Below are 14,288 nucleotides of genomic sequence, written 5' to 3'. Positions count from 1 at the left end.
GTTGCTTTGTGCTGGTGTCCTCCCCTGAGGAGGCCCCACCATCTGACTCTACAGCATCTCTCTGACCACAGTCAAGGGTCCCCAGCCATCTTAAACAGCTACAAAGACAGAAGACCCCTGAGATGCTTGTGCATTGATGGCAGAGCTCCAAAGGTCACTGGGCAGACACCAGACAATGAGTGAGGTGCCTGGCTCTGACTCCAGCTTTGCAATGCCTTGAGATGTGACCCTAAGCAAGTCACTCACCCTTTCTGAGTCTCAGTTTCCTCTTCTATCACAAGGAAATAGCAAGACAGTGTGGTATTAGAGTCTCCGGGCTTTGTATTCAGAAGGACCCGGGTTTGAATCACAACCTTACCATTTTTGAGTTCGGAGACCTTGGGCAAGTTTCTTTCCCATTCTGAGCCTCAATTTTTTCACCTGTAAAGTGGATATAATAATGTTTATCTCCTGGGGTTATTGTGAGGAAAGAATGAAATAATATTTTTTAATTGATGAATTTAACTCATTCACATTTATTGTGATTATATTGTTATAATATCATATATAAAATATATATCAATATATCAAAATATCTGTATCCATATCTACATTCATATATATCTATGACCATATTTATCTCTATCTATCTATCTTTTTTAACAATTTATTTTTAGTAGAGATGGGGTCTTGCTATATTGCCCAGGCTGGTCTTGAACTCCTGGCCTCAACTGATCCTCTTGCCTTGGCCTGTCAAACTGTCGGGATTACAGGTATGAGCCACTGCACCTTGCCTCAATCTATCTTTTATATGTATATATCTATTAAATAATTACATAACTATATGGCTGGACTCTTTCTTGCCATATTTATTTGTGTTTCCTACTTATCAGGCTTCCTTGTATTTCCTTCTTTTCCATGGCTATTGTATTAGTTACCTATTATTCTAAAATGCAGTGAGTTAACACAATAAATATTTAGCATTCATAGTTTCTGTGAGTCAGGAACCTGGGAGTGGCATAGCTGGATGGCTTTTGTTTGGTATCCCTCGTGAAGTTGCAGTTATGATGTCGGCCAGGACTGCAGCCATCTGAAGGCTTGACTGAGCTGGGGGATCCAATCCTCAAGGTGGCTCCTCAGTTCATCCCCACGTGGATCTCCCCACAGGGCTGCCTGAGTGTCCTCATGATATGGTGGCTGGCTTCCCCTGGAGCAAATGATCTAAGAGAACAAGACAGAGGCTGCGGTGTCTGTAATGACTTAGCCTTGGAAGTCACAAGCTATCACTTCTGGACTTAGAGCCTGGCTAGCATACCTGTCTTATGTTGAACAATAATGTATGTAAATCACCTGGCCCAGGCATTGGGAGAAATTCATTAATCCCTGTGACCCCAGTGCCCAACACAGTTCTGGCACAAAGAAGGCATCAATAATGAACTAGCAAGAAGAGGAATGGTTATAGCAAAATCTGGTCTCTTCTCCCCAGTGCCATTTCCTAGAGCCCAGTGGGCCAGTAGCTACTCGCAAGCCTGTTTTACTAATTCTTGCTGCTACTCAGGCCTCGGCTCAGGAGCTCTTGCCTTCTTGGAGGCAGAGAGGAAAGTCTAGACCAGAGGCATTTTCCAAGCCTGTCTCTTCCTAACTTTACGTTGATCAGTAATTAAACGCAGCCTCCAATTACTATAACGTTTGGCGAGGCACCAAGCTCATGTAAAACCTTGCAGTAAACATCTGCTTTATAAATTGCCTCTCGGTGCAGTGCACCAGCGGAGTTCTGGGGGTTGGGGAGAGAGAGAAGCAGAGAGCTGGGAAAGGGAGGAGAGGTTAGGGAGGGAGAGAGACAAAGGAGAGGTGAGGGGAGGAGAAGGAGGGTGGGGCGCTGGGCGGGGGAGGCTGTCCTTCCCAGAAGTCGTGAGATGTGAAGAACCCGTTCATTCCTCACTGAGCCCTCCCCACCCTCCAAGGTGGAGGCCCAGAATGGAACTTAGGGCTGGGGAGTCCTTGTCTCTTTGGGGCTTTTGTCAAGAGCTGCACGCAAATTGAACACAAATTACTTTTGTGTTGCTTTTTATTTTTCCAAAACCCATAACATCCCACTCACCTGCCATTTACATTTAGAAGGAGAAATGTGGAGATTAATTGGCTAGAGCAGCAGCCCCTATAGGAAGTGAGATTTTCCCCAGGCTGCAGAGAAAGAGAGGCGGGGGGCTATGCCTTTCTACGATGGGCCTGGAGGCTTCTCCTGCTACCGCACACACTGTCCCCTGAACCAGAAATGAGCCTGTGTACCACACTCTGTCTCCTTCAGGTTCTTGCTCAGGGAGGCCACAGGTGAGGGGAAGCCCCAGGACTGGAGATCAGATGGAACCGGGCTGAGGGCCAGCTCAGCTCTTGTGGGTCTTTGGGCAAGTGACTTTGCCTCTCTGGACCTCTGTTTCTGCACCTGTGAAGTGGGCATAAAAGCACCCTTGGAGGTTTTGGGAGGATTATGGGAGTCACAGAATGCTGGGTAGCAGAGTAGGGAGGGCAGGAGCTTTGAAGCCAGGCAGGCCTGCTAATTGGAAGAGACATTCTGCCTCTCTGAGCCCCAGGTTTCTTATCTGAAATAAAAAGAGGGTCACCTCAATCGCCTTACAGAAGTTCTATGAGGCTTAAACCAGGCATGGACTGAATACATGCCAGCTATTATTGTCATTACTATCAGACACACAGAAAATGCTCAACAGATAGAGATGTTCTGTTCCATGGAGCTAGGACCTTCCAGGGCCTACTGGACGCTCCTTGAAGGCCAATGTTCTACCCCTTGACGGATGCTTTCTTTCCGGGCACCTGATCTAGGCTTTCTGGTGAAGACAATTTGATTGATCTGCTGTTCCTGCTGCTGGTACCACCGTCTGCTCTCCAACTTGCCTGTTTGTTCACCTGGGGATAGAGGAGGTTAAGGTCTTCCGCTGTGCATACGTGGAGGGAAGGTGTTGGTGAGTGAGTAGGGGAGGGCGATCTGCTTCCAAACTGCCTACCTATCCCCACCTTCCCACCCGACCCCTCTCCCCGACCCAGGGCAGCTGAAATGAAATGAGCTCACATGTGTTACATGCTTAGTTTGTCACTTTTTTTTTTTTTTGAGACAGAGTGTCACTCTGTTGCTCAGGCTGCAGTGCAGTGGCGCAATCTCGGCTCACTGCAACCTCCACCTTCCAGGTTCATGCGATTCTCGGTCTCAGCCTCCTGAGTAGCTGGGACTACAGGCAGCCGCCACCATGCCTGGCTAATTTTTGTATTTTTAGTAGATAGGTGGTTTCACCATGTTGGTTGGGCTTGTCTTGAACTCCTGACCTCAAGTGATCCACCCGCGTGGGCCTCCCAAAGTGCTGGGATTACAGGTGTGAGCCACCACACCCGGCTTAGCTGGTCACTTTTAATACTGCTGTTATGATCTGAAACCCTACCTTGGTGGGAGGTGTTGGGGGGTGTGTCTTTCTTCCTTGTTCTGTTCACACCAGCAGGTAAGATGTGTAGCAAGGCAGGTGGGGCTGCCTTTCCTCTCTACTCCCAGGTAAGCTGCAGTGGTGTCTGAGGGGCCACCATCAGAAACCCAGTCCTTAGCATGAAGCATGCACGCTTGATCCTCTTTAAAAATGAAAACAGCCCACAGAAGGCTGGTGGAAGGAATCTTTCTCTCTCTCTCATTTTTTTTTTTTTTGAGACGGGGTCTCACTCTGTCACCCAGGTTGGGGTACAGGGGCGTGATCTTGGCTCACTGCCACTTCTGCCTCCCAGGCTCAAGAGAACCTTCTACCTCAGCCTCCCAAGTAGCTGGGACTACAGGTGTGGACCACCATGCCAGGCTAAATTTTAAAATTTCTGTAGAGACAGGGTCTCACTATGTTGCCCAGGCTGGTCTTGAACTGGGCTCAGGTGACCCTCCTGCCTCAGCCTCCTGAGTAGCTGAGACCACAGGCATGTGCCATCAGGCTCAGCTAATTTTTAAAATGCCACCATTGTCCAGCTAATTGTTATTAATTTTTTTTTTTTTTGTATTTTTGGTAGAGACAGGGTTTCATCATGTTGCCCAGGCTGGTCTCGAACTCCTGAGCTCAGGTTATCCACCTGCCTCGGCCTCCAAAAGTGCCGGGATTACAGGCATGAGCCACTGCGCCCGGCTGAGTCTTTCTTACCTTTGCAAGAAATTACTTGTGAAATTACCTAATCTGAGAGTTAGAGGGGACGTTCAGCCTAGTGCCTGCCTCCTTGTAAGAACTCTGGAGGCTGGGCATGGTAATCCAGTAATCCAGCACTTTGCAGGGCCGAGGTGGGAGGATAGCTTGAAGCCAGGAGTTCAAGACTAGCCTGGGCAATAAAGTGAGACACTGTCTCTACAAAAATTAAAAAAACTAGCTGGGTGTGGTGGCATGCACCTGTTGTTGGGAGGATCCCTTGAGCCCAGCAGATTGAGGCTGCAGTGACCTATGAAGGCATCACTACACTCCAGCCCAGGTGACAGAGTAAGTGAGACCTTGACTCTTAACAAAACAAAAAATGAACTCAGTAAACGTTTGTTGAATGAATGAATGTGTGAATGAAGTCTTCCTTCCATCTGGTGCTGGCATCCCTATTATGATGCTCACGGCACGACAATCAGCCTAATTATGAACACTTTCTTGACAAAGGAAGCTCTTACCTGGAGGGCAGCCTGGTCCACTCTAGACAGCTTCATGCACTGGAACATGTTCTGCATGTTGAGCTCAAAATCACTTTCCTAAAACGTCTCTAGAGGTTCCTTTGTCCCTGCAGCACGGCTCTGAGGTCACTATCCAGAAAATCCTAAATCACAGAGAAGCAGTGGCAAATAAGTTTTATAAAAGCATGCCCTGCCATCTCAGGATGTTTGCCAATGAAACCGACATAGCAGGTGAAGTTTTATTCCGGTAAACCTGTCAGCCCGAGGCAGCACACAGGTGCTCCGATGAGTTAGAATGTGGCAGAATAAGAACACGAGTTCACCCAAACCGGGTGTCAGGCACTGTCTAAATGCTTTCACGTGTATCATGTATTCACTCATCTCCTATTCCCAACCCTCCTGTGAGGTGGGTGCTAGTACACTGAGACTCAGAGAGGTCAAGTGGCTTGCCCCAGATTCCGCAGCTGGGGTGTATTTGAGCTCTGACTGTCTTGCTCCAGCGTTTGGGCACCCAAGTCCTACATTAAACCACAAACAATTTGCAACCTCTTACCTGTGAATCCAGATCTCCCTGATAGTGGAACCATCAGGCAACCAAAACCAAATACAGAAATAAGTTGCATGTAAAATGAGAAATGTTTCAGATGATGGATATGCTAATAACCCTGATATCTGATCACTATACATTATATGTATAGAAACATCATGATATGTACAATTATTATGTGTCAATTGAAAAACTAAACTAAAATAAAAAAATAAGTTAATACTAAAAAAAAGAAGAAGAAATTGAATGCAAGGATGATAAAAGAGAGCAGCTGTCATCCCTAACTCCTGATTTCAAATGTTAATGTCTATCAAAGCACCTTCATTGTTTTTTCCTAACTGGCTTTATGAATAAATGTATTATATCATTTAGCTCTTCTTTGGTTGCAAGTGACAGAAAACCCAACTGACTAGAGCATAATGGCTCCTGCAAGAAAAAACTCCAGAGGATAGTGCTGGCTTCAGGCACAGTGCGATTCAGGGGCTTTCCTCCTTGTCACCAGGGCCCATTTTTCCCCGTCTCCCTGGTTCACCTTTCCCAGCATTGGCCTCATTCGTAGGCTCTGAGGATGGCCTCTGGCAGCTCTAGGCTTACCCCTTCCCCATCCCAGGCTCAAATCCAGGAAGCAAAGGACCTTCCTGGACGGGCATGGTGGCTCATATCTGTAATCCCAGCACTTTGGGAGGCCGAGGAGGGCAGATCATGAGGTCAGGAGTTCGAGACCAGCCTGGCCAATATGGTGAAACCCTGTCTCTACTAAACAAATAAAAAAATTAGCCGGGAGTGGTGGCACACACCTGTAGTCCCAGCTACTCGGGAGGCTGAGGCAGGAGAATCGCTTGAACCCAGGAGGCAGAGGTTGCAGTAAGCCAAGATTGCGCCACTGCACTCCAGCCCAGGTGACAGAGGGAGACTCTGTCTCAAAAAAAAAAAAAAAAAAAAAAAGGAAAGGACCTTCCCTCTCTTCACACTTTGCATGGAAGTGACAAGACTGACTGGCCCTAACTGGTCATTCTGGTCCCTGAACCTTTCTTTCCCTGTGTCCAGAGGATGCTTTAGGCATCAGGTCCACGCCCACCTCTGATGCTGTGGAGGGGCTTGAGAGTTGGGGGAGGGACATTTCCCCCAAAAGGAAGACCAGGGTATTGTCACCAAAAGAAGGGGACAGGATACAGGACAAACATAAGGCTGCAAACATCCACTCAGTATGGGTGTCACACTTTAAATGCTGACACAATCTTCTTCCTGTGTTATACATTCTGGGCTTCCCCCTAAGATTTCATTTGTAACTGAATTACATTCCTAAAAACAGTTTGTGAGCCACTGGTCTACAACATTTTAAGTAGCTTTATAGAGTCTGTCACAGGGATGGGCATTAACTCACCAACTGGGATGGTGTACAAGAGCTTGCCATCTCCCTTGATGGGGTATAATAATCATAATGATAAAGCTGACATTCACTGCAATGCACACTTGCTCCATACATTCTCTCTCTCTCTCTCTCTCTCTCTCTCTCTTTCTCTCTCCCTTTTGAAATGAAGTTTTCTCAGTTGCCTAGGCTGGAATGCAGTGGTGTGATCAGAGCTCACTGCAGCCTTGAACTCCTGGGCTCAAGTGATCCTCTCACCTCAGCCTTCCAAGCAGCTAGGACTACAGGCATGCACTACCATGCCTGGCTAATTCTTTATTATTATTATTATTATTATTTGTAGAGATGAGAGCTCACTATGTTGCCCAGGCTGGTCTTGAACTTCTGGCCTCAAGAGATCTTTCCACCTTGGCCTCCCAAAGTGCTGCGATAATAGGCATGAGTCACAGCACCTGGCCTGTACATTCTGTTAATATCCAAAATTGCTGCAGAGGAAATTGATACTCAGAGAGGCTGAGCCAACCAGGTGGTAAAGGAAAGGTTGAGAACAAGAACGAGATCTGCTTGACATCAAAGCCAACATATTTTTGTTAAAAAAGAAATTGTATTATATGGCCGAGCGCAGTGGCTCACGCCTGTAATCCCAGCACTTTGGGAGGCTGAGGCAGGTGGATCACCTGAGGTCAGAAGTTCAAGATCAGCCTGGCCAACATGGTGAAACCCACAAAAATTAACCGGGCTTGGTGGCGTGCGCCTGTAATTCCAGCTACTCAGGAGGCTGAGACAGGAGAATCGCTTGAACCCAGGAGGCAGAGGTTGCAATGAGCCGAGATCGTGCCACTGTGCTCCAGCTTGGGTGACAGAGCAAGACTCCATCTCAAAAAAAAATTGTATTATATTTTTATATTTATAGACATAATGGTTGTAAAAAATTCAAACAATAGAGAAGGATATAAAGGAAAAAAATAAAACACTCCCTCCTCTCAAGTTAACATTTTAAAAGATTTAAACTTCTAAGTTATAAAAGTAATATTGAGCCTGGGCAACATAGTGAGGCTTCATTGTTACAAAAAATAAATAAATGAGCCGGGCATGGTGGCAAGTGCCTGGAGCTCCCACTACTTGGGAGGCTGAGGCTGGAGGATTGCTTGAGTCCTGGAGGTTGAGGCTGCAGTGAGCTATGATGGTGTCACTGCACTCCAGCCTGGGTGGCAGAGTGAGACCCTGTCTTTAAAAAAAAAGTATAAAAACAAACAAAAAGAATAAAAATAAGTAATACTGTACACAGTAAAAACTAACACAAAAGTAAATGAAACAAAGGTCAAAAGTTGTTCCCCATCCCCAGTTCTGCCATCTCACTCCCCAGAGAGTAGCCGTGTGAATAGATTTTTGTGTAACTCTCTCCACATACTTCTATGTGCATATCAAGCAAATACATGCTTCCTTTTACATAAATGGTACCATGCTATAAATTGTCCTATAATGTGCTTGTTCCACTTAGTCATATTTCATGCACATGCTTCTCTATTGGTCCACATGGAACAACTGTATTCTTTTTCCTCAATGTATAGTACTCCATTCAAATGGCCATATTATAATTTATACTTAAGCAGTCCCCTATTGATGGATACTTAGGTTGTTTCCAGTTTTGTTCTTTTTTTGTTTTCTAAAGGTTGCCGTAACCAGCCCTGTACTTTTCTCTTTGCCTGTTTGGATATGTGGAGCCAGCTTCTATGCTGTGCCCACCTTACTCCCCTGCTAGGTTTGGCTTTCCTGCCAATCTCTGCTTTGGGAATGCCCCTGGGGCCTGACTGCTTGTGGGGGGGCATGAAAGGGACTCCCCTCCTCATGTTCTAGCCTCTGTTCTGTCTCCTTGAAGGCCTGGCTCAGAGCTCTCAGCATCTCTCCATGCTGAGATAACTTACATTTTCTGTTATCATTTTTTTCTCTTTTTCCGTAGAAAGGGGCACTTAAAGTGAAATATCTCCTGCCGCACTGTTAACAAGGATTCGTAAATGTGAACTGTTCACCTTGTCTGTTGGCGGGCGGTTATGAGAAATCACTAGCACACAGAGGTCCCCTGCACTTCACATCTGGTGGTGTCTGTGTGGTGGCATGGACAGGGCAGGAGCTGCCTGGCTTCCTCAAACATGCTGCTGGGAGCCTAGAGGGTTTGCAAACGCTCTGGGCCCAGGTGACAGCCCAGGTCAAAGTCAATGCAGAAGAGCCATCATTTGGTGCAGGAAAAGCTGCCTGGCCCTATGTCTGGACTACTTTCTTTCCCACGTTTGAGACCTTGGCTTGAATGCCACCTCTTCTAAGAAGCCCTTCCAGACTGAGGCATTCACTCATTCATTCAATGAGCATGTATAGACCCCCCTGTTCTGTGGCAGGCCTGTGACAGGCATACAGAGGTGGCCCAGTCATGACCCCTGCTTTCTACAGTGGGGGAGACAGACAGGGACACAGGGACTTATCACACAGGGTGAGATGGGCTTCAACTGGGGATGCTTGGGGACTGTGGGGGTCCATCAGGGGCCCCAGACCCAGCTTAAGGGGTGTGGGTCCTCAGAGAAGGCTCCCTAGGGGGCCTGGTCTATGCTCAGAGCCTAGGGAGTGTGGCAAGGTCAGGGCGGGGGGGGTAGCCAGATGAAGTCCAAGAGGAAGGCCATGCCACGCAGAAGGAACAGCATAGGCAAAGGCCCAGAGGCAAGGGGACAGCGGGCAGGTGCCTGTGGGAACATTAGAGACTCAGTCCAGCTGGAGCCCACCGTCAGAGAGGAAATGGGGTGTGAAGGTGGCGTGCAGCTGGCCATGGAGCGCCTGAGACTCCACTCAGGACTGGGGACCTAATGTGGCTGACACCTCTGGATGGCGGTACTTGGGGGTGAATTTTACTTTCTTCTTTGAAATTATCTCTAATTTCCTGGATGTGAGGGCAATCTGGCTGTGAAGTCTGTCAACCCATTGATCGCCAGGGTTGATTAGGCTGATCTGGCTGGCTAGGTAGGTGTCCCCTTCCTCCCTCACCACTCCATGTGCGTCCCTCCCGAAGCTGCACACTTGGTCAAAGAGGACAACAATCCCTGATAGAGGAGGAGCAGTCTTCAGTCAAGGGTATACGAGTAGCTGCACTCCCCTGCTAGAACCTCCCAACAAGGTCTCAAATTATCTCTAATTTCTTAACTTTTCTATAGTGAATTATGTGTTACCTTTGTAGTAAAAAATTGTAAATAACAATAAAGATTACTGCAGAAGAATAAAGGAGAAGGCAAATGAGTAGTAGTAGTGATAGTGGTAGCAATAGTAACAGTGGTATTGATAGTAGTGGCAATAGTAGTAATAGTGGCAGTAATCAGTAAAGTAGCAATAGTGGTGGTAGTAATAGTAGTAACTGTAGTAGAAACAGCAATTGTGGGAGTAATAGTAGTAATTGTGGGAGCAATAGCAAGAGTGGTAGTAATAGTGGTGGTAGCAATGGTGGTAATAGGAATAGTGGTGGTAGGAATAATTGTAGTAGTAACAGCAATTGTGAAAGCAATTGTTGTAATTGGGGAAGCAATAGCAATAGTGGTAGTAATAGTGGCAGTAGTAATTGTGGTAACAGTGGTGGTAGCAACAGTATTAGTGGTATTGGTAGTATGGTAATAATAGTAATAGTGGTAGTAATTAGTAATAATAGTGGTGGCAGTAAAGGTAGCAATAATGGTGGTAATAATAGTAATAGTGGGGACAGTAATAGTAATTGTAGTAGTAACAGCAATCATGGGAGTAATAGTGGTCATTGTGGGAGCAATAGCAATAGTGGTAGTAATGGGGTGGTAGGAATGGTGGTAATAGTAATAATGGTGGTAGTAATAGTGGTGGTAGGAATTGTAGTGGTAGAAATGGTGGTAATAGTAATAATGGTGGTAGGAATGGTGGTAATAGTCATAGTGGTGTTAGGAATGGTAGTAATAGTAATAATGGTGGTAGTAATAGTGGCGGCAGGAATGGTAGTGGTAGAAATGGTGGTAATAGTCATAGTGGTGGTAGGAATGGTGGTAATAGTCATAGTGGCGGTAGGAATGGTGGTAATAGTAATAGCGGTGGTAGGAATGGTGGTAATAGCAATAGTGGTGGTAGGAATGGTGGTAATGGTAATAGTGGTGGTAGGAATGGTAGTGGTAGGAATGGTAGTAATAGTAATAGTGGTGTTAGGAATGGTGGTAATAGTGGTGTTAGGAATGGTGGTAATAGTAATGGGGTGGTAGGAATGGTGGTAATAGTAATAGTGGTAGGAATGGTGGTAATAGTAATAGTGGTGTTAGGAATGGTAGTAATAGTAATAATGGTGGTAGTAATAGTGGCGGCAGGAATGGTAGTGGTAGAAATGGTGGTAATAGTCATAGTGGCAGTAGGAATGGTGGTAATAGTCATAGTGGTGGTAGGAATGGTGGTAATAGCAATAGTGGTGGTAGGAATGGTGGTAATGGTAATAGTGGTGGTAGGAATGGTGGTAATAGTAATAGTGGTAGGAATGGTGGTAATAGTAATAATGGTGGTAGTTATAATGGCAGTAGGAATGGTAGTAATAGTAAGAGGGGTAATAGGAATGGTGATAATTAATAGTAATAGTGGTGGTAGGAATGGTGGTAATAGTAATAGTGGTAGGAATGGTGGTAATAGTAATAGTGGTGGTAGTAATAGTGGTGATAGGAATGGTAGTGGTAGAAATGATGGTAATAGTAATAATGGTGGTAGGAATGGTGGTAATGGTAACAGTGGTGGTAGGAATGGTAGCAATAGTAATAGTGGTGGTAGGAATGGTGGTAATAGTAGTAGAGGTGGTAGGAATGGTAGTAATAGTTTGGACTCCACCTTGTAGGTGGCAGGAGCCACTCAAGGGCGGGGAAGGATGAGAGTTTGAGTTGAAGGCGGATTGAGTTGAAGGAGGATTCAGGCAGGTAACTAGCGTGGAGGCACGGTCGAGGGTAAACCATCCTGGCTCTGTGTGGTGGGGGCCCCCTTCCCCCGTGCTAGAGACCATCTCCTCTTAGATGATTCACTGGAGGGAAGTGGTCTATTTTTAGAATGCTCTATTTCTATGGGAACTGGACTCTGCAGAAGATGAGCTTCAGTCATGGCTGCTGAGTGGCTAGGGCGAAGGTCTGGAGAGCCAGGTCTCTTAACACCACCTTTCCAACATCCACAGAACCTTAGCTGTCTCTTTCCTCAACTCTTAGAATCCTCAACAGTCACAGTTTTGTTTGTTTGTTTTTTTTTTTTTTTGAGATGGAATCTCACTCTATTGCCGAGGCTGGAGTGCAGTGGCACCATCTCAGCTCACTGTAACCTCTGCTCGCGGGTTCAAGGGATTCTCCTGCCTCAGCCTCCTGAGTAGCTGGGATTACAGGCAAGCTCCCACGATGCTCAGCTAATTTTTTTTGTATTTTTAGTGGAGACGGGGTTTTGCCATGTTGTCCAGGATGGTCTCGAACTCCTGACCTCAAGTGATCCGCCTGCCTTGGCCTCCCAAATTTTCTTTTTTTTCTCTCCATCAACTCAGTCACCACTCATATACTTACCCATTCGTCCTTTTGCCTGTCACTCATTCATCCATTCACCCTTTGATTTTCAATTTGGTTGCAGAAGAATTCCTTGATTGAAGTTCACCAAACGTTCATTTCTAGGTGGTAGAATTCTGATTTTTTTTTTTGGCTCTAATCTTTATACTTTCCATATTGTTTGATTTTTTTTTTCTTGAGGCAGAGTCTTGCTCTTGTCATCCAGGCTGGAGTCCAATGGTGCAGTTTTGGCTCACTGTAACCTCCACCTCATGGGTTCAAGAGATTCTTCTGCCTCAGGCTCCCAAGTAGCTGGATTACAGGTGCCTGTGACCACATCCACCTAATTTTCTGTATTTTTAGTAGAGACGGGGTTTCACCATGTTGGCCAGGCTGGTCTCAAACTCCTGACCTCAGGTGATCCACCCCACTTGGCCTCCCAAAGTGCTGGGATTACAGGTGTGAGCCACTGAGCCTGACCTACTGTTTGAATTTTTACACCACACACTCATCATTTGTGTCTTTACAAAAACAATGTATTCATAGAAATAAACAAGCATACCAAAATAGAAAACACATCCATGATTTCAGAATGTTTTCTCTGGTGGACGCCTGCTGCCACGTAAGAAGTCTAACTACTCTGAGACCGCCATATTGTGAGGAAGTCCAAAGCTGGCTAAGTGGAGAGGCTGGGTGGAGAGGAGGGACGTGTTCAGCCAGCTCTAGATGTCCCAGCCATTGATTCCGGGAGTCAGATATGTGAGTGAAAGAGCCACTGTGGGCATTTCAGCCCCAGCATATTCAACTTGGAGAAAAATCAAGAAAAACCATTTGACTGGAACATTTTTTTCTTTTCTTTCTTTTTTTTTTTTTGACCGGTTCTTGCTGTCACCCAGGCCGGAGTGCAGTGGTGCAATCACGGCGCACTGCAGCCTCGACCTCCCAAGCTCAAATGATCCTTCTCCCTCAGCCTCCCAAGTAGCTGGGACTACAGGTGTGTACTACCATGCCTGTCTAACTTTTGTATATTTTGCAGAGACAGAGTTTTGCCATGTTGGCCAGGCTGGTCTTGAACTCCTAGACTCAAGCCATCTGCCTATCTTAGTCTCCCAAAGTGCTGGGATTACAGGTGACAGCCACCATGCCCGGCAGAACTGGGACACATTTCTAGTCATCCAAGCCACCCCAAATGAAGGCCCAGTCATCATGGAGCAAATACAAGCTGTCCCTGCTGTGCCCTGACTGAATTCCCAGTCCACAAAATAGTGACTGTAACGAAAGAGTAAGACTTGGATTTGAATTAAAGCTTTGCATGGTTTTGTGCATGACCATAGGCGAATCCCTTCACTTTTCTGGTCTCAGTTTCTCTCTCATTGGAACAGGAGCTGAAGAATAGCAGGTGGGCACACTGATGGGTTCTCCTGTTGTTTTTCTTTCTCCTCATGATCAGGAAGCCAGCATGATGAGGTAGCACTAACTTGGGCTGTGAAGCCTGAGTCCCAAGTTCAAGTCTTGGCTCTGGTGTGCATGAGCACGTGACCTTGATTCTGCTTGGCTTTTTTTTTTTTTTCACTTTTGCTTTTCTATCTTGCTGAAAATATGTGATATTACATGTCACTGCAAACAGAACTGTGGCTAATGCTGCACAATTTATATTGCTGGTTGCAAGTATTTTGGATAGCTCAGACACATTATGGCAATATTTTAAAAAATTGCGCTGTGAACTTGTTGGAGGGAGCAAATACCCTCCTTCCAGATCTTAAGTCTGGATTCCCCCAACTACCTCTTGAGGAACCCCCAGAGTGAACCCCTAGGGTCAGGTGATGTCTTCAGCCATCTATGCCCCAACCATCAGCCCTGACCAGGGTGGACTAAAGATTCTGGCAGGGGCATCCCTCTGTAGCCTGTGCACACACACATACACAGATGCACACACAAAGATACACACACACACACACACACACACAGCCACTCACAGACCCGGCCTCATTAGAGTCAAAAGGGTGAATAAGAGCCAGATTAAATATGTGTTGATTATGTGAGCTTGTGCTCCTGTTTATTCCTCATAAATAAGACATGAGCTCTGTTTTCCAACCCCCGACGTATGTGTGTGTGTGCACGCATGCACACACACACAACACGTACACACTTCCTGGGGGTGATATT

General features: G+C 46.1%; 1 pseudogene, besides 2 other annotated features; it reads left to right on the top strand.

Annotated features, from left to right (window-relative positions):
* Positions 406-1,605: an enhancer, noted in NCBI's record as "CDK7 strongly-dependent group 2 enhancer chr12:110108888-110110087 (GRCh37/hg19 assembly coordinates)". NCBI's record gives its function as "activates an origin of replication core promoter dependent on BRD2, BRD4, P300/CBP, MED14 and CDK7 cofactors, with strong dependence on CDK7, by STARR-seq in HCT116 cells {active_cell/tissue: HCT116}" and the evidence as "EXISTENCE:reporter gene assay evidence [ECO:0000049][PMID:35650434]".
* Positions 4,397-4,566: a silencer, noted in NCBI's record as "fragment chr12:110105927-110106096 (GRCh37/hg19 assembly coordinates)". NCBI's record gives its function as "represses an EF-1alpha promoter that drives an FKBP-Casp9 reporter gene in an ReSE screen in phorbol 12-myristate 13-acetate-treated (for megakaryocytic differentiation) K562 erythroleukemia cells {active_cell/tissue: K562(+PMA)}" and the evidence as "EXISTENCE:reporter gene assay evidence [ECO:0000049][PMID:32094911]".
* Positions 9,505-9,825, top strand: RN7SKP250 (RN7SK pseudogene 250; annotated as a pseudogene).

The sequence above is a fragment of the Homo sapiens genome, chromosome 12 (genome assembly GCF_000001405.40).
Source record: "Homo sapiens chromosome 12, GRCh38.p14 Primary Assembly".
Taxonomy (NCBI): Eukaryota; Metazoa; Chordata; class Mammalia; order Primates; family Hominidae; genus Homo; species Homo sapiens.
Note: the sequence above shows the minus strand (reverse complement) of the source record. Positions and strands in the feature narration are given on the sequence as shown.